This window comes from Homo sapiens, chromosome X, assembly GCF_000001405.40.
Source record: "Homo sapiens chromosome X, GRCh38.p14 Primary Assembly".
Taxonomy (NCBI): Eukaryota; Metazoa; Chordata; class Mammalia; order Primates; family Hominidae; genus Homo; species Homo sapiens.
In genome coordinates, this window is record NC_000023.11 from 133851410 (window position 1) to 133878767 (window position 27358).

Here is a 27358-nt window from a genome sequence, read left to right on the forward strand (position 1 = left end):
TAAACCAGTCAGTATTTTCCTGTATCTATTTCCCTTCCCTACTTCCCAATATACTTGTTATAGTGCAGATTGCATGGGTTATACAATCAATCTTGTTCTTTCTATTTAAAAATCTATCCCCTCAAATCTCTCTGAAGTGGGCCCTATCTCTTCCAATTATTTCCCATTATTGCCCTAAAAATTTTCTCCTCTACTGATTCATTTCCAATGGCATTAGTATAAGTTCTACTTTCTCTACCTGTTGTTTTCCCCCTCCCATAGACTGCTTCATCCTTATTTGCATGCAAATCCATGATGAAATCAGCTATACATTTTCATATTCTGCTTATATCTCTGCAGGCTGGCGCGATTCTTCATTGTTTCTACTGTAATCCAACTCTGAGTACTTTTCAGGAAATTTCAATGTCATGCATCTCCCTAGGATTTCTAAATTGCTCATATCAATTGGGCATAAAAGCACAGCTAGAAAAGAATTCAAACATTAGGGAGAACTTCTTGACCATGCCAGAGACTTAAACACCAGAACATACTACTGACTAAGAAGACACAAAATACCTGCATTTAGAAATATTTTCAAATGGATAAAAACCATCGCTCATTTATGATTTAGGTATTGATGTACCTAAGCAGAGGGACGAATTAAACGGCTTATATATATCCCTTCCAGGTCTTAGATCTTACATGGTCAACCTAACTGTATTTTGCAAACTTTTCTAAGAAAGCTTTAGATTCTTGTAGAATAATGATAAAATGCATTAAGGCAAAACCAAGTCAAGATATTCTACCAAATGACCTAATATTTTATTCAGTCTGAGTTCCTCTCCAGAACAGGTGGAATTTGTAACTTCATAAGGCCTTTGAGGGGTAGAGGGGTGAGACAGACCCATCTTCCTGCCTCCTCTCAAAGCTGGTACCAGGCTGCCTCCAGAAAGGAGGATGGGAATAATTAGAAAATCTTTATTGGATCTGGAACATTGTTTAGACAACTAGGTACAATAAACTGCTATGGATATTAACTTTACTTTTGAAAACACGCAGCTAAAATGGGATTCTTTGAAGATCCAGTCAAGATTTCCTCATTCTTGGGGAACTAAATACATTCTAAACGTTTAAAATCCTGGAAAGCAACTAATCACTTCTAATGAGCTGCCAATTGCTTGTGGGAAACTAAAAAATAGGAATTTTGCCAATCACAAGATAAGCAGCATGCTGAAGTGGGAATCATGGAGCTTGTGGGAAGTTCAGTAAAGCCAAGAGAGTGGCAAAAGTGCAGGAGGTGAACTGAAGGTGGCCAGGCTTCCAACAGCAGCACACACGCTGGCATTTTATCCCCTCAATGATGAGGCAAGATAATGTATGTATAACTTTGGTGCTTTCAAATACTGCTGTTCTCTTTCATTAGTACCATTACCACCTATAACTTCTACTTGACCCTATCTGGTAGAGTACTTCACAGGTAATGTTACATAAATAAAGTAGGCTAAAGAACTATCAGGGAAATTTAGGAGAAAGTTTCAAAAGAAGACATGGTATATCATTAATATTTGGTTAATTTGACGTGCAATTTTTAAATTCCAAAAAAAAAAAAAAAAAAAAAAAAGCTTTCTTCTGTTTTATTCCTTTCAATGCCAGTGAGAGGCAGCATGGAGTATTAGAAAGACACAAGGAAAAATACAGGTTTTGAAATTAGACAGACATGAATTTAGATTTCATCTCTGCCACTTCCTAACTGTGTGACTCTGGGCAAATCAGTTAACATGTCTCAGTTGTCCCATCTGTAAAGTGGGTGTGATACTACACAAAGAATTACTGTGAGATATGTATGTATATGAGAACACGTACCACAAAAGCATATGGTTAACACTAATGGCTAATTTCCCATAACATCTTCTTCTTCTATCCAGTATCTCCCTCCTCTAGTCTCCTCAGTTTTCCCTAATCTGCTCTGTTTCCCTCATATTCCTCTTCCCTAGCCTGTTGTCATTTCTCTACAGTAGTCATTTCTCTCCTCTCCAAGTACAGCCTTACTTATGGCAAAACCCTAACAATTAGCAGAAATTATTGGGAGTTACTATATACTTGGCAAATTTATTCAACTAGAAAGATTTCCAGATGCTCAGGTTTGAATGCCAAAACATAACAACACAGCTTTGGTAATTAACATGATATCTTTCATGAACTAACATTAAGCATCTAGATGAATCAAGCGTTATGCTAGATATTGAAGTTATAGAGATCAGGACTCAGTTCCTGCCCTTGAAGAACAGAATCTATTGAGGGAGGCAAAAATGAAAACAAATAATTGTAGTAGAGCATAAGAAGTGCAAGAAGAGAGTGTAAGAAGTGCAAGAAGAGATAGATATTTAAAGTATAGAGCTGGCAAGGAGAATGGAGAAATCCAAACTGCTTTGATGCACTGCTGTGAGGTGTAGGGGATAGGAGTAGGATCTCATTGAAAAAGACACTCCTCTCAGTCCTAGCTATGCTCTTATAGAAGCTACATAACCTTAGACAAGTCAGTTCACCTCTTTAAGCCTCAGTTTCCTTATCCAAAAATTTTTCCACTAGTCTTTGCAGCTTTCTTGCTCTATTTACCAAGTAGAAAAGTGAAGGAAAAATAGCTCTAGATGGCATATTTTTTTCTTTTTTCCCCCATATTTCTTCTCATCCATTCATTTTCCTTTGTAGCCATTTGCTCATTTCTAGTAGCTTTACTTTTGACTCTCCCCTATCATAATGGTGCTGTGTTTGTGGATTTGATACCATGGCTAGAAAAAGGATCCTTTGGCAAAAAGAAGTTCCCTTTTATGGAAAGATCTGTTTCTTCATTGTTCCTGGTCATATGAGATGATAGGTTGAAGCCTGAGCAATGGTTTTAAATTTTGACTCCAGGGATTCTTTTTTCACATGAAGAGATTTCAAAAGCTATTTCAGCAACTTAACATTGACCCTCACAAAAGCTCCACCTCCATATCCATTTAACAAATATTTATTAAAGCTTACACTGTGTTAGGCAATAGGCTGGGGGTTATGGGGGATGCAGAAATGATTAAGATATGGGCCTGGTTGTCAAGGAGCTTATGATTTATTTAGCGGCTGTGGCACTGAGCCCAGTGCTATATAAAATATATTAGCAAGGCAATCATTGTTCTGTCACAACTGGAGCCATGAGTCCTATACATGTATATGTGGTTTTGACTAGAAGTTGTGCATTCAGTATGCGTTGAAAGCCACATGTCAAAAACTGAGTTGTTCCAAAAAAAAGTTCAATCTCATTAGCAAAGAAATGAAAGTTCAAACAATGAGATTCCATCATTCTTCTAGCAAATTGGCAGAGACAGAAGAAGTTAAAATGCAATGACAATGAGAATGTAGTGACACAGGTCCTCTTATACACTGCTAGTGAAAATAAGAAATAAACTATGGTGCGTCCATAAGAAATTATGGTATATCCACACAAGTGAATTCTATGCAACCATTCAAGATAATGTTTTTAACTATATATAATGATATGGTGAAATACTCATGATGCCATATTAAGTGAAAATAGCAAGTATAGAACTATATATATACAGCATAATCACATTTTAATAAAACATTTTTCTTTGTGAATGCATAGGAAAAAATACTAAAAGGAAATATATCAGAATGTTAACAGTAATTATTACTTGATGGAGTAGCTACAGGTAGTTTTACTTTTCCTTTTAATTTTGGTGGATATTCCAGATGTTCTTTTTCTCTTCTCTTCTCTTCTCTTGTCTTTTCTTTGTTGAGACAGGGTCCTGTTTTGTCACCCAGGCTGGAGAGCAGAGGCACGATCATGGCTCACTGCAGCCTCAACTTTCCAGGCTGAAGTGATCCTCTTGTTTCAGCTTCCTGAATAGCTGGGACTACAAGCATGAGTTCCTACACCCGACTAATTTTTTAAATTATTTTTTGTAGAGATGAGGTCTTACATGTTGTCCAGGCTGCTCTTGCACTCCTGAGCTCAAGCGATCCGCCCACCTCAGCCTCCCAAAGTGCTGAGACTACAGGCATGAGCTACTGTACCCAGCCAGATTTTCCTTTTTTAAAATAAATTTTATCGTGTACATGTAAGTTATACAATATGCTGTTACAAGATATATATATATATATATAGTAAAATGGTCCCTATAGTGGAACAAATTAACATCTCTATCGTCTCACATAGTTACCTTCTTTCTCTGAGGCAAGAATAGATATAATCTACTCATTCAGCACAAGTCCTAAGTACAATACACTATTATTAACTATAGTCCTTATGTTTTACACTGGATCTTTTGACTTTTTCATCTTACAGGTTTGCTACTTTGTATCCTCTGACCTACATCTCCCCATTTTCTCCCCACTACTCCAATTCTGGTAACGACTGTTTTATTCTCTACCTCTACATATTTGACCTTTAGATTTTAGATTCCACATATAAATACGATCATAAAATATTTGGCTTTCTGTGCCTGGCTTATTGCACTCCGTGTAATGTCCTCCAGGTCCATCCATACTGTGGCAAATGGCAGGATCCCTTCCTTTCTTAAGGCTAAATATTAACAGTATTCCATCATACACACACAAGCAGCACATTTTCTTTATCCATTTGTCTGTCAATATTTCCATATCTTGGCTATTGTGATAATATTTCAATGAACATGAGAGTGCAGATATCTCTTCAACCTTCTGATTTCATTTCCTTTGGGCATATACACAGAAGAGCGACTGCTGAGTCATATGGTAATTCTATCTTCAGTTTTTTGTGGAATCTCCATACTGTTTTCCATAATGGATGTACTAATTTATATTCCCACCAACAGTATACAAGAGTTTCTCTTCCTCTATACCCTTGTCAACACTTGTTATCTCTTGTCTTTTTTATCATAGTTACCCTAACCAGGTATGAGGTGGTATCTCAGTGACTTTTATTTGCATTTCCCTAATGATTAGTGATGTTGAGTACCTTTCATATACCTGTTGACCAAAATTTAAAAAAAAATAAAAACATTTAAAAGAACAGTAAAATCACAGGTGAATGAACTAACATTAAGCATCTAGATGTAATCAAAATCACCTGTAATCAAAATTACAGGTGATTTTACTGCTCTTTTTAATATATTTTTGAATTTTCCACATTCTCTGCTACAATAGTGTGTATCTTTGTAATTATAAAAAGGTATTAAAATGCATAGAAAAAGGAATCTACACTAAAATGTTAATAGCAATTTTCCTCAAATAGTAGGATTATGGTATGAGTTTTATGTTATGGTTTCCATATTTTTACAATTTTGTAGAGTGACATGTACTAACTTTATAGCTACAAACTAAAACTTGATTAAGCAAAACTGGACTATCACATGAAGTAGCAAAGACTAAGGTGAACAAGCATATATTATTTAAATGAGTCTGTTGTACTGCCACAGAGCTTTGCAATACTTTTAGGCCCTATCTCCACTCCTTATGGTTTGGGTCAGGTCACTTAACTCGTGTGTGCTTTAGGGAATCAATAATTACTGCGTGCTTCTAATGGATACTGTGATGGTAAATGTGATAGCATTGGTGAAAGGCTTTGAACTCAGGAAAGAAAGATATACAGCAAGTGGTAATGGGTATTTTAATTATCTACCATGTAATGTTTCTGTTAGATTATCCCCAGCAATCTCACCCATTCTCATTTCTTTTCTTATCATCTCTCTACAGACGACTCCCAAATTTCTATCTACCCCTCTCCACCACACAAGTAACACTTCTCTCTAAATCCCCCTTCTTCTGACCTATTCTTCCTGTTCTCTGGATCCTTTTTCCTCCATCTTTTGCTCATACCACAAATATTTTCATATCAACTTAAATTGATTATTAATGAATCATGAACTTGATTAACCAGTTTCTCTTAAATCAATAAAAGTTTGTTTAATTAACTTGGATATGAAGTTTATAGAACTATTTTAAAATTATTGTTCTTTGGCTCCTGCTAGGTATAACTACCTATATAAATTTCATGTGTTAGAAAACATTCAAATAGAAATATAATCTTCCCTTTCACCCCATGAGGTCAGTGCCCAAAGCTATGAGTTCAGGAGTCCCTGCCAGAGGCCTGGGGAGCTGGATTTCATCTTGGTCCCATCACCAACACATAGTATGATTTGGGGTAAATCACATTCCCTTTCTGGGCCCATTTCCTCACCTTTAAGATGAAGGAAGCAGGTTGGATTGTCTCAAAGGTCTGAATGATAAAAGCATCTCAACAAATGGAGAACTGGGAAGCACCAACATACAAATGAGCTGCCTCTACTATATCCTTGCCTACAATGACATCAGGCACAAATCTCACCATATGACAATATAATTGGAATGACACAGGACAGCTGAGGAGCACACACCCCAAGCCAGCAAATAACCTTTTACTGGCAAGTACAGTCCACTAAGCCTTTTGACAATTATTCCTGAACAATAAAGCTGTCAGCCCTTGTTTTAAAAAGTACTTATAGATAAAGGGATAAAAGGGGGAAGGAGGAGCTAGTCATGTTATAAGAGTGGGTTAGCAGAGCTGGGGAGATATTTTAATCTGCCAGACAATGTTCTGAGATGGTGTGGTAAGTGGGAGATCAGGTTGTGATCAGGATGAATGGATATCCAGGTACACAGGGCATGACATATGTCAGAGTTTAATAAGTGGAACAATGGGAAACTCAGGAAAGGGGGGCTGCTAAAGGAGTGTCTTGCCATTATCTGGAGAAATTTCCGAACTATCACTAATATTCCCTACACTTACATCAAATAGACACTCTTGTCTTTCCACCTTCTCCTATAACCACCCTTAAGGTCACTACTAAAACATAGGGCACTATTGTGCAAATTAGGAAAAGGCGTCCCCGCTGGTGCTAAAAGGTCCCCACTCTGGGCCATCCAGCTAGAAAAGAGATGGAGGGATTGTCAAAGGTACTTTCTGTGGCTGGAGTAATAAGAAAAACAGCTTGTCTAGCAGTATCCTGGCTGGATTTCAGCTCCCACCTGGATGCCTTCACCCTGCCCTGGCATCTACCATATCTACCATATTCTGGCACTCTCATATATCTCTCTCTCCTGCCCCAGCATTAGTCTGGGGTCAGATTAATTTCTGACTGCAGATTAATTTCTGCCACTCTTGCATTTACCTGCCCCACCTCCATCACTGCTCCAATTATACTAGACACTACTGTCAGTCATCATTGCACTTTGGATTGGGACCAGATTCATCTTAATGAAAAGGATATCATTTTAGAAGACAGAAACCAGAATGAGTCTCATTTGGTTTGGGTTGGGGGGTGGGGAATCATATTTTCAAAAGAAAGTTCCATGTAACATTTTGTCCTATGAATACTTCTTAGAAAAATAACTGTCTGGCCAGGCGCGGTGGCTCACGCCTGTAATCCCAGCACTTTGGGAGGCCGAGGCGGGTGGATCACGAGGTCAGGAGATCGAGACCATCCTGGCTAACATGGTGAAACCCCGTCTCTACTAAAAATACAAAAAATTAGCCGGGCATGGTGGCAGCCGCCTGTAGTCCCAGCTATTCGGGAGGCTGAGGCAGGAGAATGGCGTGAACCCGGGAAGCGGAGCTTGCAGTGAGCCGAGATCATGCCACTGCACTCCAGCCTGGGCGACAGAGTGAGACTCTGTCTCAAAAAAAAAAAAAAAAGAAAAGAAAACTAACTGTCCTTTGATCTAATAAGTTTAGCAAACCCTATATATTATCTGTCTCAGAGATTAAAATCACACAGTAGTGAATTAAGGCTCTGTCTGACCCACCAGTTCCCAAATGTGTTAACCATGGAATCCTACCCAGAAGCCCTCATCCTCTATTCAAGGCTCCATTTCTAGGAACTTTCCCAACCATACAGGGGTGCTGAGCCAGTCTTCCTGGAGAGGACTTCCTAAGGCAGAGCTATTAGGACCTGAGGGAAGGATTCCTGGAGTGAAGCAATTCCAGACTAAAATTCCCAGGCTTGGGGTCTCCCTGGGAATTCCCTCAGAAGGCCCATATTTGCACCTGGGAAGAAAAAACAACTGTTGCCTAGGAAATCTGCTCTTCAGGGACCCCAGGGCCCACTTTAGCTGTGTGTGGGTAGGGAGAGATGAAGGCGAAAGTTCCAGCTGCTATAGATGGTGGTGAATGACTTACACAAACAAGGACGAGTCTGGGCAGGTTTCAGGTTTCTGACAAAGAGAAAATTTTGAGAGACATTTACAGATACTCTCCGCATTCATCACACAAATCTATGTCAGGATTTTGAGTTTGCAAAGCATCATCAGTATCATCTCATTGGAGCCTTGGCAATTCTGTGAGTTAAGAAGGGGAAGTAAATACTTATGTGTGTTAGTCTGTTTGTACTATTATAAAGGCTGAGTAATTTGTGAAGAAAAGAGGTTTATTTGGATAGTGGTTCTGCAGGCTGTACAAGAAGCATGGTATCAGCATCGGCTTCTGCAAGGGGACTTGGGCTGCTTCCACCCACAGTGGAAGGTGAAGGGGAGGAGAGATCACATGGCAAGAGCAGAATCGAGAGAGGAGGAGGGTGGTGCCACGCTCTTTTTAGCAATCAGTTCTGGAAACTAACAGAATGAAACTCACTCATTATCTTGAGGACAGCACCAAGCCTGTTCATGAGGGATCCTTCCCCATGGCCCAAACACCTCTCACCAGGCCCAACTCTAACACGGGATCAGATTTCAACATGAGACTTGGCAGGGACCAAACAAATCATATCCAAACCGCTGCATCGTAGGATATGTGAATCACTGAGGCTTTCGTTCATGTGTTATCATAGCAAATACTTTAAATCCTCATAACAACCCTGTTAAGTGCCATTATTAGTACCGTTTTTTTCCCCCAGATTTTGAAACTGAGGCTCAGTATTCCCACTTCGAAACACTCACTGGGCTAAGGTAAGAATACAAAGGGGAATCAGGCAGAAAAAAAAATCCTTTCCTCAAAGTATTCACAGCCCTCTTGAGGGAGAACAAAACTGAACAGCACTCGGGGAACACCGAGTGAAAAACTATGACCACTAAAAACTTGTTAACAGTTAGCATTTAATGAGTGCTTACGTCCAGGCTCTGTGCTAAGTGCTTTGAATGCATTATATTATTTAATCCTAATAACATTTCTATGAGGAAGACTCTATCATTATTCTCATTCTAAAAATGAATAAACTAAGCCTGAGACAGATGAACTGATTACTCTAGAGCTGATCAGCTAGGAGAGAGTGGAGCTATGATTCTAACTCAAATCTCTTTGACAGTAGATCTGTTGTTAATTACAAAGTTCACTGTAGAAGGTCCTATGGAATCAATGGTGAGGAGTATCTCAACCATCATCATATTCTAGCACATATGGTAAGTCATCTTTTAAAAAATTGATTGGCCAGGCACGGTGGCTCATGCCTGTAATCCTAGCACTTTCAGAGGCTGAGGCAGGTGGATCGCCTGAGCTCAGGAGTTCGAGACCAGCCTGGACAACATGGCAAAACTCTGTCTCTACAAAAAATAGAAAAATTAGCCAGGCATGGTGATATGTGCCTGTAGTTCCAGCTACTTGGGAGGCTGAGGTGAAAGGATTGCTTGAGCCTGGGAGGTTGAATCTGCAGTGGTCATGCCACTGAACTCCAGCCTGGGTGACAAAGTGAGATCCTGTCTCAAAAAAAATTGATTGAATTGAATATCCATTTTAACCCAATTGGGAAGGTGCATTATCAGCATACGTATAAAACTGCATAGACTTAAAATTTTACTTATAGATAATCACATCCTAGTAAGTGATCTAGCTGCATCTAGTTTGGTTACCCTTAATTTATGGTAACTTGGGGCCACTGGGCTCTCAAAAGAAGAGGTGCTATGGCAGGGACCACTTAATTTAAGTCACAAGAATGAAACTGACTCAGGAGTATCTGGAATTTAGATTCTAGGAGCTAGAATCTGGCCAGATTTTATGTAAAGTTTCAACTTTGGGTATGGTTTCCCCAAGATTAACAATCCTAAAGTTTGATCAACTGAAATTTGGTTACGTCTTCTGTGTTAATTTAAATGGGGACTCCAAATATACTAAATATATTTGGAGATGCTTCAAGAAACTGAAGGGTTTGGAAAGCCCAATTTCATACAGGAAGTTTTTAGCTCTGATATAGTTTGGATATTTGTGCCTACCCAAATCCCATGTTGAAATGTAATCCCTAGTGTTGGAGGCCCTGGTGGGAGGCGTTTGGGTTTTGAGGACACATCCCTCAATGGCTTGGTGCTGTCCTAGTTGATACTGAGTTCTCACGAGATCTGGCTGTTTAAAAGTGTGTGGCACCTCCTCTCCCTCTCTCTTGCTCCTGCTCTGGCCATGTGATGTGCCTGCTCCCTCTTCACCTTCCACCATGACTGTAAACTTCCTGAGGCCTCCCCAGAAGCAGATGCTAGCACAATGCTTCCTGTACAGCCTGTAGAAATACGAGCCAAACAAACCTCTTTTCTTAAATAAATTACACAGTCTTGAGTACTTCTTTATAGCAATGCAAGAACAGCCTAATATAAGCTCCTTAAACCAAAATCATAAATTAGTTTTGCATGTGATTATGGTGCTTGCATTTCCATTTCCTCTTTATTGAGTACAATCTTGGTATTTTAGAAAAAGGGGATTTTTTTTTTTTGCCACTCAATAATTGAGGAATGTTACTGTCTACTCTACTCTTGAAGAATGGAACACTTATTTACTAAGTCATACCTGTCTTTCTGTCTAATCTGCATATGCCAAAAAAATCATTTACCAGGCTCCTCCCACTACAGAAATGCAATCATTCCTACATGCCAACAGAAAGATGCGTAAATATGTGGTTAATGTTCAGCCAATAGACCACATAACAAAGGTAAAACAGGCCACCTTTACCTTTATAAGGTGCCAAGTCATAAATGATAGCCATCTCATGGCTGTATTGCTTCCTTTAAAAAAAAAAAAATAGTGGCCGGGTGTGGTGGCTCACGCCTGTAATCCCAGCACTTTGGGAGGCCAAGGCGGGCAGATCACACGGTCAGGAGTTTGAGACCAGCCTGGCCAATATGGTGAAACCCCGTCTCTACTAAAAATACAAAAAAAAAAAAAAAATCAGCTGGGCGTGGTGATGGGCACCTGTAGTCCCAGCTATTCGGCAGGCTGAGGTGGGAGAATCGCTTGAACCTAGGAGGCAGAGGTTGCAGTGAGCCGAGATCGCACCACTGCACTCCAGCCTGGGCAACAGAGCAAGACTCCATCTCAAAATAATAATAATAATAATAATAATAATACTGACTACACTTATCACAGAAGACACAGAAGTTATTCTACTGCCTCCCAGGCTTCCACATATGGTCGTGCCTTGCACAACTCTAGAGAATGCCTTTCACATGAACCACAATGTGAATGTGCAGAGCACAACCTGTACAACTGCACATAGCAGGCTGCTACCTCTCCATATCCTCCATTCTCCCAAACATCACGTAGGGTAGTTTTGAGTTTGCATACTGTAGAAGCCGTTGCTCACACAACATCCTGGCATCGAGCTTTGGCTCTGCTTAGCAGCACTGGGAAGGCCAAGAGATACATACTCACTTCTTAGCACTGCTTTTCTCTTGTCAGTTCTAAGAACATTCAACAACATTTTCATTCTTTGTTAGACATTAATGAAAACAATAAGCAAAGCTGGGTCAATAGTAATTGGTCTCATGTAGAAAATGACAGCTAGTCAATTATTTTTGATAAGCCCCTAGAAACAGCAAATAAAACATCTTTGCAATAACCCCTTGTCAATAGAATAGCCATAAATCTGAGTCTCAATACTCCAACTAATGCTCTAAGGAAAAAAATATTTTCTTTAAGCATAGTAACAGAAACATTTTGAAGAACGATGCCATCTTTCTCTCTCTAACTAGGAATGAACATTTTGATAATCTTGAAAGTTTCTTCTTGGCTTCACTGGGCAACAGGAACATTTTTAAATTGTGGTTTTGGTAGGCAGTAAATAAATGGATGTAAACATCACCTATTCAGAGATAGCCTTAGCAGGCAGAGAAAGGGGCACTCAAGTGATAGAATTTGAAGAGTGCTGAGAAGGCCACAGAACTAATAAATGCTATCATTTATGTTTCATTCCTTTGTATTAAGGGCACTGTGCAACCACCACCAACATCAACACACACACACACACACACACCCCTAGTTAACATAAAAATATTCCTTTTTTTTTTTTTTTTTTGAGACGGAGTCTCGCTCTGTCGCCCAGGTCGGACTGCGGACTGCAGTGGCGCAATCTCGGCTCACTGCAAGCTCCGCTTCCCGGGTTCACGCCATTCTCCTGCCTCAGCCTCCCGAGTAGCTGGGACTACAGGCGCCCGCCACCGCGCCCGGCTAATTTTTTGTATTTTTAGTAGAGACGGGGTTTCACCTTGTTAGCCAGGATGGTCTCGATCTCCTGACCTCATGATCCACCCGCCTCGGCCTCCCAAAGTGCTGGGATTACAGGCGTGAGCCACCGCGCCCGGCCAAAAATATTCCTAAGAGAGATAACACACTACGCCTTTTTGATTACTGGCAAATTTCCCTTCCCACAGATGGTGTCTGGAAAAATAAGAATACTTGGTTATCTTTACGTGGAGGAAGAATAGGGTCAAGTAACAGATTCAAAACCTTGCTCACAGAGTATTTTCTGGAAAGGGTGCAGTAAGGTGGTGGCATGGGGGAAGAGAGGGGACAGGAAGCAATAAGAACAGTTGAGATAATATTTTAAAGGCATAGGATACTGAGCACCTTGGGAGGAGGAAGAAGGGATGACAGATGAAGGGAAGGTTAAAGGGCAGGAAACCCAAACTGTGCGCACTTCACGGTTTTGACTAAAACTGTTCCTGATCCCATTTCACAGGGATTGACTCTGAAGAAATTTCCCATCATAGAATTAGGAAAGTAAGCTATTATTTGGTATGTGTTCCTGGAAGGCTCACATTAACTGACAGTAAGGTCCTGGGAATTTATACCAAATTGGTTCTCCAGCTGTTGGCATATCATGATGGTGGGTAGAAACAAACAGCTGCAACTCCCATCACCTCTCCTTTCCACCTGGCCCCATCACTGCTCAGCCCCATGCCTAATCTCTATGAATACCCAATGCTCACATGTCCCAGCAGCCTTGTCTGTCCTGAACTCAAGTGTAACTGACAGATTGGCTGTATTTCCCAATTTAACAGTATTTTTTCTTGGGAGTACAATTCTAAAGTTGTGGTGAAAATTTATGGAAAAATGTGTTACAATTTACCAACATGTGACTTTTTTGTTGTTGAAAACATTTCATTCATGATGCAAGGAGGTTTCTTATTCAAATATGAGTGTGAAACACAACTCTCAAAGTGTGAATAAAATGAAACTCATATGACAAGTGTTCATCCTGGATCTTCTTTCTGAATGTCACTTGCATTTAAATAGCTTATGGAAACATACCTAGTGTTTTACACAGATTACAAACTTGCCAGTGAGAAAAAGGATGTCCCTGTTCTTTCTTGCTGAATTTAAAATGTGAGGCATGCACTATAAACTTCCTCTTAGACACTCGTACTTTAAATGTGATATTGTTCTCTTTTTTTTTAATTTAGCATGTCCAGCTGTTGCCCTATTTACAAGTTCTGTTCCTTCAATAAAATGCAATTACAGTTATCTGTGGGATGTTCTTTTATTTGTATCCCACACAAAAATAAAGATATTTTAATATTTATGTTTTCTCCCTCTGTCATCAAAAATTCAAGCCTATCACTGCAACCATAGTTTCTAAAAGGGAATAACTAATTACATTGTGTGATTTTGGTACTGGGAAGCAACAAGAGTCCTTTTTTTACATATAAGCAACAAAACAATTTAACTAAGGTTATACTATTGCAGGTGGTATTTTGCCAAATAAATTACTTTTGCAATTTTTATAAAATAGATGCAAACAAAATATTGTGATTTCATATTGGAAAGTCACAGGCAATCCTCTCCATAGGGTACCTACTTCATAATGAGCTACGTATGTTCTTATTAAATGAAACGGGAGGAAAATAATGACAAGAGACATTTCACACAGGAAAATACACTGTTAGAAGGGGAAATCCATCTGGATTTTGGTTGCTGCAACAAAAATCTATACAAAGTTTGCTTACTTTAAAATGTATGGGTATATGTAAATCGGTTGATTTTGTTATCTCAGTAAAATAGAATATTTTCTAATCTTTTCCTACATGTGGTAATTGGTCAGCAACGAAGCTGATAGTTAACAAAAACCTGAAGCCCACATCCAATTAATGCACCATTTTGGCATTAAGTCTGAAGCACAATTAGGAGGGTCAGGCAATTCACTGTATTGTATACCAACAAGTTCAACCAAGCCACTTCATGTCGACCAAGAATGCTGGGCCTCACTGGTTTTAGTAGACAAAGCTACAGCGATGTCTGGAGGCATTTTCAAACAGCTTAAGTAGCTCTTTAAAGTAACTATTACTTGTCATGTAAATTTCTAGTTTTAAGCAGTAGCCAGCTACTGACATTACTATGGTATACAGACAATTTAAATATGAAAAATTGAAATAAAAATAGACCACAATATCTGGTATTTCCAGACACAATCATCTGAAGCTATTTTTCTGCCTTCCTCTATGTGAGCAATAAGGAGAGAAAGAAAATGATACTTAAATTGAGGGAAACTAAAGAGAAATGACCTCATGTTCCATTAGCCAAAATCAATACCTTATATATGCAAATGCAAGTTTCAACAGGGTATCCATATGCAAATTGTAAATGTGAAGCAGCATCCCTTTTAGTGCACAACTGAGCATTAGGTTGCTATTTATTTAGGGGATTTTCAGTAAATTGCGTGCTTTAATCTCTGTGTTATGGGAAATGGTCCCCTTCACCTCCTTCAGCAGTTACCTATGGCAGCTATTAATGCCTATAAGCAATGCAGTGACCCTGGCAGTACATAATTCCACAGTGAATATTTAATTTTGAAGGTGAAAAATGAGGTATACTCCCCTCATAACACTTCTTTTTATGACTCTCTTAATTCTTTGAAATTTATTATTTTTGCTAAAAGCACCCAGAAGGTAATTGAAATAGATTTTCCAGATACATTTCTAGATTATCTTAACCTACAGTAACATGTTAACTCATTCATAATATTCTTAGCAAATACAGGAAATACAGCTTCCCTGCTTAAAAACTATCCCAACTAACCTGATATTTTATGCTTCTTTAAGAAAAAACTAAAGTCATTTTCAAAGAACTTCTGGCTTTTTTCTTTTTTTTTGGAAGAGATCAAGCAATGCCCCCCAAACTTCTCTAGTCAATCATCAAGACTAGAAAAAAGGCATAGGTAAATAAGAGATGGAAGTGGCCCTATGGGACCAACCGTACAGAGAAAAGAACCAATTATTCTCTCTCAGGCTCCTAGCCCACCATTTAGCACCTGAATAAGATCATTTACAGCCAAGTGCAGTGGCTCACACCTGTAATCCCAGCACTTTGGGAGGCTGAGGCAGGTGGGTCATTTGAGGTCAGGAGTTCGAGACCAGCCTGGCCAACATGGTGAAACCCTGTCTCTATTAAAAATACAAAAATTAGCTGGGCATGGTGGTGCACGCCTGTAATCCCAGCTACTTGGGAGGCTGAGGCAGGAGAATCACTTGAACCCAGGTGGCGAAGGTTGCAGTGAGCCGAGATCATGCCACTGCACTCCAGCCTGGGTGACAGAGCCAGACTCTGTCTCAAAAAAAAAAAAATTGTTTATTCTAAGATTCCCTTGTGTCTTGAAATGGCTGAGTGGCTCCCAGGAAGAAGTTTGTTACCATCACTATCAGGTCTAGCAATGACTCTTCACTGAACTAGACATTGAATTATTGGGTTACTAGTCCCAGAAAATAAATGGCTGAAGAAGAATTGATAACAATTTTCAGAGCAAAGAGAGTATTTCCTAAAATTGCAACTGGGGAAATGAGAAAGACACATGAACAAGTCATCCGCTAGCAGAATCCAATGGGGCCTATGGAATCACAAGCAGAGCAGTCTTTGGCATCTATTCATCCCACCTAGATATGCAGCTGCTGGAGGGCAGGCTTCTATCTCAAAAATCCTCTCTATCCCCATAATATTGACACAAAAAGGAGACAGGGAAATACTGGGTCGGAGAGGCCGGTTCCCTGGCAAAGGCCCCATCTTCAAGCCTGAAGACCTGTGGCCCTGAATGGGGACAGGCATTCCTGTTTTTGTGCCCAAAAAGTTGCCTTTTGGCCCAGCATACCCCCGTCTTGTACCCATATAAACCCTGAACCCCAGGCTCCAGGAGCAGACAAGCAGACGAGGAGATGAGCTGAGGAGACAAGCAGATGAATGGCAGAATGGTGCGCAGAGAAAGAGAGAAGGGAAGGAACATCTAAACGCCAAGAGGAGTTCAGCTAGGGGCAGTGGGAGGGTAGTTTGGCCACTGGACAGCCAAACTCCAGGGAAGATCATCTTCCCACTCCATCCCCTTTCCAGCTCCCCGTCCATCCCACTGAGAGGCACCTCTACCACTCAATAAAACCCCATATTCACCCTTCAAGCCCATGTGTGACCCAATTCTTCTGGGATGCTAGGCAAAAGCTTGGGATACAAAAAGCTGTCACACTGGCCCTCTGTCTTTGCAAAAACGCGGAAGGTCCACTGAGCTGGTTAACACTTAAACCATCTGTGGATGGCAAGGTTAAAAGAACACTGTAACACTGAGGCTGCAGGCACCCACCCCTAGATACTACTATGGGGCCAGAGCCCAAAGCACTCACCCTAGCTCCTGCTCCTGCCTGTCTGCATGCTCCCCCTCCTGTCAGGGGTTTGAGCAGTGGTGAGCCAAACCACTGTCACAGGTCCTGTGAGGGGGATCAGGGAACTCTTCCATTTCATCAGCAGAGCTCAAATAATACTTGTGGAATCAATGCAGAAAATGGTAGACAATAGGCTACATTCACTTGTTCATTCAGTTAAAATAAGTTGTTACTATGGGCAAGGCACTGGAACAAAAGCTGCAGGAAAGAGGATATCTCCCCTCAAGGAGCTCACAGTCTACTTGGGGAGATAAGGCATGCTTGCAATTAGCTGCTAAAATACAAGATAACAACAACAAATACAAGATAATACTAAGTAATAGGCTCATTTAAAGGGGTACAGGTAAAGTCTAGAGCAAGGGAGGATGACTTCCATCCAGAAGAAAAGGATAAGACCTCATGATAATGTGCCATTTGAAAAGGGTATCCTCCCCTGGGCCCTTTCCAGAGTCCCTCAAGTCAACCCTCACTTTCTCCTCAATGGGCGGGCCTCCTCCCTCCCTTCCTCTGCTGATAACACTTATTCTTTGACTCTGCTTTCTCTTGGGCCACTGCCAAGTGGAACACAGCTATATAGTTTCCCCTCCTCCCCATCTGTATCTACTTAAGCCCAGAAACCCTTTTGAGGTTTTGTAAGGGGTTTTAGGGCTAATAACTAAAAGGGAACAGACAAGGTTTAATAACACACAGAGAGAAGTGGTAAGAAACTGAAAAAGTCTCTAGAAACAGCTCTCACAGATTTTCAGTGGAATGAAGATGAAATTAGGCCTGATATTCCTTTTTCTTTCCCTGAGCTCAAGTCTTCCTCCAGTATTCAGCAGTACCTACTTTTCTTTCTTTCCTTGTTCCCATCCTTTTCTTTCATGCACTTAAAACTTGTAGAGGAAAAGTTACCATAGGAAACTGGGTGTCTCTAGAGGTAAACATGACAGCACTCTACACTTCAGAAAATATAGACTACATTTAATATCTTCTTATGTTGCTCACAAAAAGAGTCATCTTAGATCAGATACATGGCGCCTAGGAAGAACACAGGGGTTTTGGACATAATACTTGCAAAATCAACCCTAGTAAGTAATAGCAAATATCACAAGTACAACTTCACCGAAAGCGCACCCAGAATCTAGTGCTAACAGATACTTTCCTGTATCTTTCTTTAGCATCTACATTAAGTCACACACCTGTTGGGGTTCAGTGAGCACAAGCAACTATAAGCATGATGAGGAAGGACTACTGACACAAACCATGGCAACACGAACATATTTCAAGCTTGAGTGGCATAGCCTGCTTTAACAATGAGCACAGAATAGTAACATGAAATTTCCAAGGATGGGAAAGGAGGGTAACTTTTTTTATTTTGCTTCTAAGAGTACTGGGTGGCCGGGCATGGTGGCTTACACCTGTAATCCCAGCACTTTGGGAGGCCGAGGCCGGCACATCACGAGGTCAGGAGATCAAGACAGAGACCATCCTGGCTAACACGGTGAAACCCCGTCTCTACTAAAAATACAAAAAAAATTAGCCGGGCGCGGTGGTGGGCGCCTGTAGTCCCAGCTACTTGGGAGGCTGAGGCAGGAGAATGGCATGAACCCAGGAGGCAGAGCTTGCAGTGAGCCGAGATCACGCCTCTGCACTCCAGCCTAGGCGATAGAGCGAGAGTCCGTCTCAAAAAAATAAATAAATAAATAAAAGAGTACCGGGCAACTACAGAAATCACCACTTTATGTTTCATATGGCTTCAATGAATTCTCACACACAAGAATTCAACTCTGATTTTTTAGTGATGATGTACCAACCATCACTCTAACAGCAATAAGATAGGGGGTGGAGTGAATCTTTTGTTGCTGTTGTTAATCAAGACATATTTGGAAGGAAATTGAGCTTATTTGCTGCAAAGGGAATGAATGGTCAAAAAATTGATGATTTAAATTATCACTTTTCTTATTCCAAATATTCAATGCTCTCATTAGTCTCCTAAAGTTCTTCACTGTGTGTCTTTATTCTCAAGCTGACAAATACCAAATCATGTACTTTCTCTGCTCCCATTCCCAATTTCATGACTTTTTTCTTTAGTAAGTGCCAACTGTTACTGGAGAAAGTAACGTAATTTTGCCATTTTGATGGTATAAACTTACAGTATAGCTTAACTTTAGCTGAGCCCTGGTTATTGTTTAACAAGCCTTTTTATTTATACTTTGCTGACTACTTGTCATTTCCCAGGGCAGCCAATCTAAACCTTTCCTACTTTCCATTTGTCCCACATTTCCTAAGTCCTAAACCCAATCCTGTCCTTTTCACTCTTAGCGAATGATATTTCTCTGATAAAATGAGGATCTTAAACATGATTTCCTATGATGTCCTGCCTCTTTCTCTTCACTTGATCTCTCCTTCCTTCCTGTCTCAAATTACCACACTCTTCTCCACTCTACCCCCAAATATATTAAAAGAGGAATCAACATCCTCTTCCTCAACTCCAATCAATGTGACTTTCATACCCATCTCTCTAATGAAATTTGGTACTCAAATGTCACCAATGACTTTTAGAGTTGCTAAATGGGATGGTCACGTCTAACCTCCATCCTTTTCCACCCCTATGGAGTATTTTACACTGCTTCTTCTTCAATCTCTCTGCCTTCCACATGAACATACCCTCAAGGCTTTCATTCTCATGCTCTATTTCTTTGCTGGGTCTTTTTTCTAAAATATCTTCTTTGGTAAATTTTCCTGCTTTCATGATTTCCATTATGATGAGTTATGTGGATAATTCCTGGATTTCTCTATAAGTCTCAATCTCTCTCCAGAGCTGTAGGCCTGTATTTCTGACTCCCTCTTGGACAGCTCCCCGTAAGCAGGTCACCTGTATTACAAACTCAACATGACCAAAATCCAATTCATTTTGCCTCTTGTAGTGATCATCCCACAATCCTTATTGCTTCAACCAACTTCCTTATTTCTACTCCTGACATCACTCTGCTCCTTCCCAGTTACTAACAGCTCTGAAAGTAAAAAATATTTCCTTCCTTCCTCTTGCTCATCCCCATCCATATAGTCACAAATTCTATCAGTTCTCTTTTCCTCAATGTTTCTTACATCGACCTCTAGCTTTTCCCTATCTCCACTGCTACAGCCCTAGTTAAGATCTTCATGCCTTACCTTCTATGTGAGAGACATCATGCTCAGTGCTTTACATAATGTATCTCACATAGCAGGTACACAATAAATATTTGTTCATTATACTATCCTTTTCCTACAAATGATGCTAGACAGATATTTTCAACCATCACCACAAACTGGTACCCCCAAAAGAATTTCCCTTTAAAAATGTAAAAGCCATTATTTAAAAATACCAGGCAAGAGATGATACACTTTAAACCACATACAAAGTAGGATGGAAGAAGTGATTAGGTGATATATAGTGGAAGTTCATCATCCTCAAGTAGTGCAACTGTACAGTACATGATAAGTAGAATCCTACCGCCTCACATTCAGAAAGAAAACTATATGATAGTGAAAATGGTGCCAACACATTTAGTTCCTTCCAAAGGGATCCACAAGGATGAAAAGTAAGACATAAGACATAAGGATAGCTATTAAACTGGCTTCCAGCTTGCTTAATGCCCAAGAAACTTAAAGATGATGGCAGGTAACCACAGCCACCCTCCCCACCTTTTTAAGAGATAGGGTGTCCCTCTGTCACTCAAGCTGGAGTAGAGTGGCACAATCATAGCTCACTGCAGCCTTGAACTCCTGGGCTCAAGCGATCCTCCCACCTCAGCCTCCCAAGTAGCTAGGACTATAGGCATGCACCACCACATCCAGCACCAGTTACCTTTTATGTTAAATGTCTTTGGGCACATCATAACAACATTTTTCCTCAAAGGATTTTAAGGAACATGACAGGAAGAAAAAGTTCAATTTTTTATTTCAAGTACTCATAAACCCCATGTATTTTTTTTTTCTCTGAGGTTCGGGCTTTCTACCTTGGTATATAAATGTCAAGGGGATGTTAAAAGATGCAAATAAAACTTCTTGTAGAAGAAAGCTGGTTATATGCTTACCTGCCTGACTAGCCCTGTAAGCATCTTGATGTCACTAAAACATTTAATATTATTTAAAGACACATTCCTGTTTTTGTAAGTGTAACTTACGGTCCTGTGGAGCTCAAACTGTTCATGCAACAAACAGTGCTGGAGCTTGGGTAAGGGAGAAAGCAACTCAAATAATAAAATGATTTTTCCTTCCACCCAACCATCTTTTTCTCACCCCCATATTGCTTTGGGCCTTTGGTGGAACCTTGAGAGGGATGGGGATGGAGGGAAAACAGAGATGACAGGAAAGGAGGAAGGAAGGAACATACAGATATTGTTTCTAAAAGTTTTCACAATTACTTAGACTGAACATTTGTCTACTGGCTTCAAAGTCTACCTCTTTTTTTCCCTTTAGTTGTATTTTTCTATATGGGCTGAAGAAGCTCCTGATGCCACTGATTCCTGCAGTCTCAGGCAGGACCAGCACCAATGCTAGAAGAAACATGTCTGACCTAAATGACCTGGGGTTAGGACATTTATTACTATGCTGTCTCATTTTGTGTCCCCAAACCACAGATGTTAAAACCATCTCTTCTGAATGATGGCTGCCTCCCTCACTTAGTGGCAAGTGCCAAGATGGCTAACATGTTTAAAAGGCACCTACAAAGAAAGCTTAAAAGTCTTTCCTTTCCCTTATATTTCCTGGTACAGACCGTTTTCCTGAAATAGGGGCTATGCAGTGCCTAATAAAAGGCCGAATTTACTAAGAAGTTTTTATACCCTCATAAAGTAGCCCTAGTGAAAGTCATCTAACTGGCAGGAACTGTACAGGTAACAGACGGCTAAGACCTCTACCACACAGTCTTCTAAACTCTGGTTAATGGGCCCTAGAAGGCTGCCATCCCAGAAGTTTACTACAAAAGTTAAACTCAAGGCAAATGAATTAAAAATGGTGCCAGGCATAAACATTATCCTTCGGCATTCTTTTGCCAATGAACGATTATCACAGACAACTCTGCAGGTTTCCAGGCAGGCCAGCCAATGAAAAATGCAGAGTACTATGCCAGTCCCAATATATATATTCCACATCCCCCAAGCCCCAAGAATGTTGCTGAGATGTAAATAATCCACAAATTATTGAAATAAACAAAGTGGTGTCCAGGAGTTTAAGCAAGGTACTTTTCCTCCTGGGTTACAACATACTATTCTAGGCCCCATGGGTGATGAGACAGAACAAAGCTTGAGAAAGTTAGCTGTTATCTTCTTGGGGGTGGAAATACTATCTATATAAGGGCATATTACAGAGCTCAGACACTCCAGGTTAAACAGAGGAAGTTTGAAAAGGGATGCAATCAGTTTGCCGAATAAGAATGGATATTGGCAGGGTGAACTGAATTTATTCACCAAATCCTAATACAGTAAAGATAAGGACTTCTTAAAACTAAACAAAGATAAGCTTAAAACAGATTAAAATGGGTAGTGGTATGGGAAACAGCTGGTTTAAATATATGGAACTCTATATTACTCAAAACAAGAGGTGCTAATAGTTGAAAATACACAGTTTCACCAAAACAGGGTTCAATGTGATGATAAGATTTAAATCTATGATGGCTTATTGAATGGGAACAATTTCAAACCATATTCTGCTCTTCAGGAGTAGATTACTGGAAATCACAGAAACAATACAGTTCTAATTATGGTACCCACGAAGAGTTCCCAAGAGCTCCCAAGGTTTATCTGGGATCCAACTTGCACCAAAAAAAATCACCAAATCCTATCTTCCTTCTTGTAAGTCTAAGTCAGTTAAGGGAAAAGATTATTCTCACCTGCTTTAACTTTACAATTCTCCCATTCCGTGTTCTTTAGCCACCTGGTCTCCCAAACATTTTGCAGTTCCATTTTGGAAATGCATAAACCATCTCATTTCTTTATCTCAGATAAAGTATTTTTCTCATTTTGTGTGAACTTTTCTGTTTGGTTTGACCAATAATTTCTTTAGCATTAACTGTGATGTTATCTTGGTTTTACTTCACCTCCTTTATTTCATGTAATCTTTAAAGATTTGTCTATGTCACTGATCCCCAATCCTTCCATTTTATGCACATATATATATTTTTGCTATAGTTTCCTGTACACAACCATCCTACTTTTCCTTTTTAAGTCCTTTGACCATGATGATCCCTTCCATATTTATTGAGGACAAGCTAAGAAGAAACAGCTGTAAGCCACAGAATAAAATATTTCAGTTACACATGTCAGTAGCACTTAGGATGATGCTATGTCAGTAATAGGTTGGACAACAGACGATGTTTTTACTCTCCCCAGCATGCAGCAGGTTGCAGGAAATTGGGCCAGCCTCTCAGCAGCTCAAGTCAGACCTTTATGTATGACTTCATTATTTAGTTTGAAAGTGAATTTCTAAAAAACAGACTCACCCATAGTCAAATGTAAATATAAACAGGCTTTCCAACTCACATATAAATGAGTTATTCATCATCTTCCATTTGCAATTGCCTATACTTCTGGTTCTCTGCCATTAATTCAAAGCATCACAAAATTCACCTTAGAATATTGATTTAGAAGGTAAAGTTTTAGGGTCTTGCTTTTAAAAGAACATGACAGATGAAGGTGGTGGCCAAGACAGAAAAAGAGAAAACAAGATAATGTGTCAAGGACAGATTCTGGGCTATCACTGGCTAGTGGAGTGTCTCATATGAAGGGCTCATACATGAGATCATTTGATCAATGACTTTTACTTCCAAACATCTAGAAATGCACACTACATCATTTAACTAGAGAGTAGTGAGTTTGAAATCACAAAGCTGGTTAGCTTGATCCAACAAGATCTGAATCACTCTGGCAAAATTTTCTAATCTTAGTGTCTCATTTCCAACTGGCATCACTGGGTGGCCCACATGATATACACAGAGACGAAAGAGGAGGCAGTTTAAATTGGACACCCTGAAGGGTTATTTTACAATGCCACATGTTGTACAAATTAATTTGAGATTTTGTTTCTTGGGTGTTGCTTTAAATTGGACACATTTTTAAATTTATTCATATTTATTTAGTTCTAGGCAGACAGCCCTAGAACACAGCTGGCAAATGGAAATGAGAGTATTGTATCCCCCGCCTGCCTTTTCAACTTTCTCTTCCACTATACTATTTCCTTTAAGGAATCTTTTTATTCCAGCTCAAATAGTTTTTTGGCATTCACCAAGCTCATTTTTCCTGTCTTTAAGATTTTGCTTAGACTATTATATCTACTTACAATGGATATCCCAGTCTCTCATATTCTTTTATCAATAGCCTCCCCACCATCCAGGCTCAGCTCAAAAAGGGATAGTATGTTCATGGTTTCTTTGTCACTCAGCCTATACACTCCCTTGTGAGTAGAAATTGGATCTTATATATTAGCCCCACAGTACCTAACATAGTGCATGGTACTCTGTAGATGCTCAATAAATACCTGTGGATTGATGGAACCCATCAATCATCTGTTTCAAGATGCCTACCATAACATGAACATTCTTGAGAATCTAATTTCAGCAGATGCACTCATTCAAAATATAGTCCCTGCTGTCTGAAAACAGTTAAGCAATAAGAACTTACACTATTATCACTATTTGATTTCAGTATAAGTGCCTTGATTAAAAAAAATTGTCATTTCCTGAAACACTGAAAAACTGATTCATTTAGAAATATTATTAGACTATTTAGATCTTTATTACTAAAGCCATTGAGATTTACCATCTAACCCAAAGGTTGTTCAATCAACAAAAAACAACTGAAGTGAGGAACTTTAACACCACATTTTAGGCAATTACTGTAACATGATCATAATTCTTATGCAACTTTAATTTTTGTCAAACACAACAAAATTCATATTACATAGACTCCTATTTCATTAAGATAATATGATTTGAAATAACAATGGCATTGGCCTAAAACAGAATACGGACGCTGTTAACACTTGAAGGGCTTTCTTTTTCCCAAAGGCATATCAGGATACAATAAGAAGGCTTCCAGCAATGCACTCCTAACCCCAGAAGTAATGGTACCTATTAAACACTTAGGAGGGTTCCCAGGGTAAGGTGATACTAAAGAAAGCACAGCCTCAAATAAGATAAAGTGTTATCTTGGCTTTCAGAATCTGAATGTTTTAATTCCAATTTATGTCCTATCTACCTGGGAATCAAGGGCAAAACAATGTTATCACATTTATTCTCTAAGGCAAAGAGCAAGAGGCCTTTAGCAGAGTCCAGACAGGGCTCCCTGGTGACCTGGAAGTTGTGAATGGGCTATCCTCAGACAAAAAAGGCCAAGATGCCCAGTTATTCTAAGAATTAAGTAAGTGCTATGTGAAAGAAATGAAAACTACTAATGTGGTTAGTCCTTTTGACAGTATTGTTTTGTTTTTGTTTGGGGACATGGGGTAGATGTTTGTTTTACTTCCCACACTTGGTTTGATTATGTTTCATTGGAGGAAATCACCCTTAATTGTTATATCCCATCTCATTCTGGAGTCTTGACATTAAAACTATATTTTTACCTTCATCTTCTTCCAAAAAATGAGAGTCAACAAAAGTTTCAGTCCATTTTGTAGACATTAAGGGTTACTTATGATGGTTTGAGAGCAATTTAATCCTGACAGAACTAATCTTTTCAATGTCTTGATGCTGAACTGGAAAGACTATTACTTAATAAGGAATAATACTGTAAACCAGATTTGGTGACCAAAAAGCTACAACAAAATCACTTTAGGCTATTATTTCTCAGTTAAACATAACCTCTATAGTGGATATTTTAGATGTGAGTCAGAAAACATATTGAAGATATAAAAGAATGCCTTTGGGAAGTGAGTCCTCACTATATATCAAATTCTACACATTAGAGTTTGTAATAATAATAATAGAGGTAAATTTATTTTAAGGCCATGGTTGCATTAAGTTTTCCCTCACAGTTAAATCACTATAGATCTGTCACCAAGTTTTACTACAACAGTGGTAAAGTGGAAAGAATATAGAACTGGCTCAGAAAACCAAAGGATAAGTAATATCATCATGTGACCTTAGACAAGTCTTGAATCTCTCTACACCTAAACCCTTGCATCTATAAAACAAGGATAATGCCAACCATTCTCTTCTCACACCCTGCTATTGGGACTAAACAGAAACACTTCTCAAAGTGCAATTTGGAAATGCATCAAAGAATTTTTACAACTTTATACATGTTTCTGTGGCCTAGTAGTGCTGAAATTCTAAGAATTTATTCTAATAAAAGAATCAGAAATGCACCCAAATATTTATGCACCAGAATGTTAATTATAGCATGAGCTCTAATTGCAAAAGTCAGAAACAATCTAAGATGATTAACTCAAAACAAATTACTCTATATTCATGTAACGAAGGCTATACAGCCATAAAAAAATAGGTTTTATAAAAAATTTACTGAACTAGAATGTTCACAATAAATAGTGTTGACAGTAAATAGTGGGAAAAGCGAGTTTCAAAGCAGTACATATTACATAATGCAGACTATAATACATACACAAACACACACAGAAAAAAAGACTGGAGAGAAATACACCAACATATTAACCATTGAACCACTGTTATCTTTGGGGAGAATTATGAGTGACTTTTATGTTTTTTTTTAATATTCTGCATTTTCAAATTTTCTTTTAAAGCATATATTGAATTTAAAATCAGAAAAAAAGAATTTTAACTTACTTTTTTTCTCTATTTTGAAAATTATATGAGATATTTGGAAATGTATATTTGTAAACGCTGAGATAATATTACAAGAGTTAAGATCATACTATCTTTGAGGCCGGGCGCGGTGGCTCACGCCTGTAATCCCAGCACTTTGGGAGGCTGAGGCGGGTGGATTACCTGAGGTCAGGAGGTCAAGACCAGCCTGGCCAACGTGGTGAAACTCTGTCTCTACAAAAATACAAAAATTAGCCAGGCATGGTGGCAGATGCCTGTAATCCCAACTACTTGGGAGGCCGAGGCAGGAGAATTGCTTGAACCTGGGAAACGGAGGTTGTAGTGAGCTGAGATCACGCCATTGCACTCCAGCCTGGGCGACAAGAGTGAGACTCTGTCTCAAAAAAAAAAAATCATATTATCTTTGTTAGAGAGGTCCAAATTCTCACTGTCACTAGACAAAAATTAAATAATCCAAGTGTGGAGCAAAGACCAAAAAATGTGTTTCTGAAAAGAACTGTGCTGAATTAGTTTGATTCTTTTGGCCTTAATTGACTTTTCCACACCCAAAACGTGCTTCTGCTGTTTTTGTCTTTTTTGTTTTTTTACATACACTTCAGTAACTGATAGTAGGGGTCAGAGCCTGCTGCAAACTTCTTAGCTGTTTCAGCTGCACCACATCTTGGTTTTAAAAGGTGAGAAAGGATGTGCCACTATTCTGCCCAGTTAGATACACAGCTA

General features: G+C 39.3%; 1 protein-coding gene across 5 annotated transcripts in view, besides 1 other annotated feature; it reads right to left on the minus strand.

The window, feature by feature from the left end:
* Positions 1–27358, minus strand: part of GPC3 (glypican 3) — a 449850-nt gene that overhangs the window by 315665 nt on the left and 106827 nt on the right. The window lies entirely within an intron of this gene.
* Positions 14215–15057: an enhancer, noted in NCBI's record as "NANOG hESC enhancer chrX:132999651-133000493 (GRCh37/hg19 assembly coordinates)". NCBI's record gives its function as "activates a minimal SCP1, AML or CMV promoter by ChIP-STARR-seq in naive and primed H9 embryonic stem cells {active_cell/tissue: H9 hESC(naive and primed)}" and the evidence as "EXISTENCE:reporter gene assay evidence [ECO:0000049][PMID:30033119]".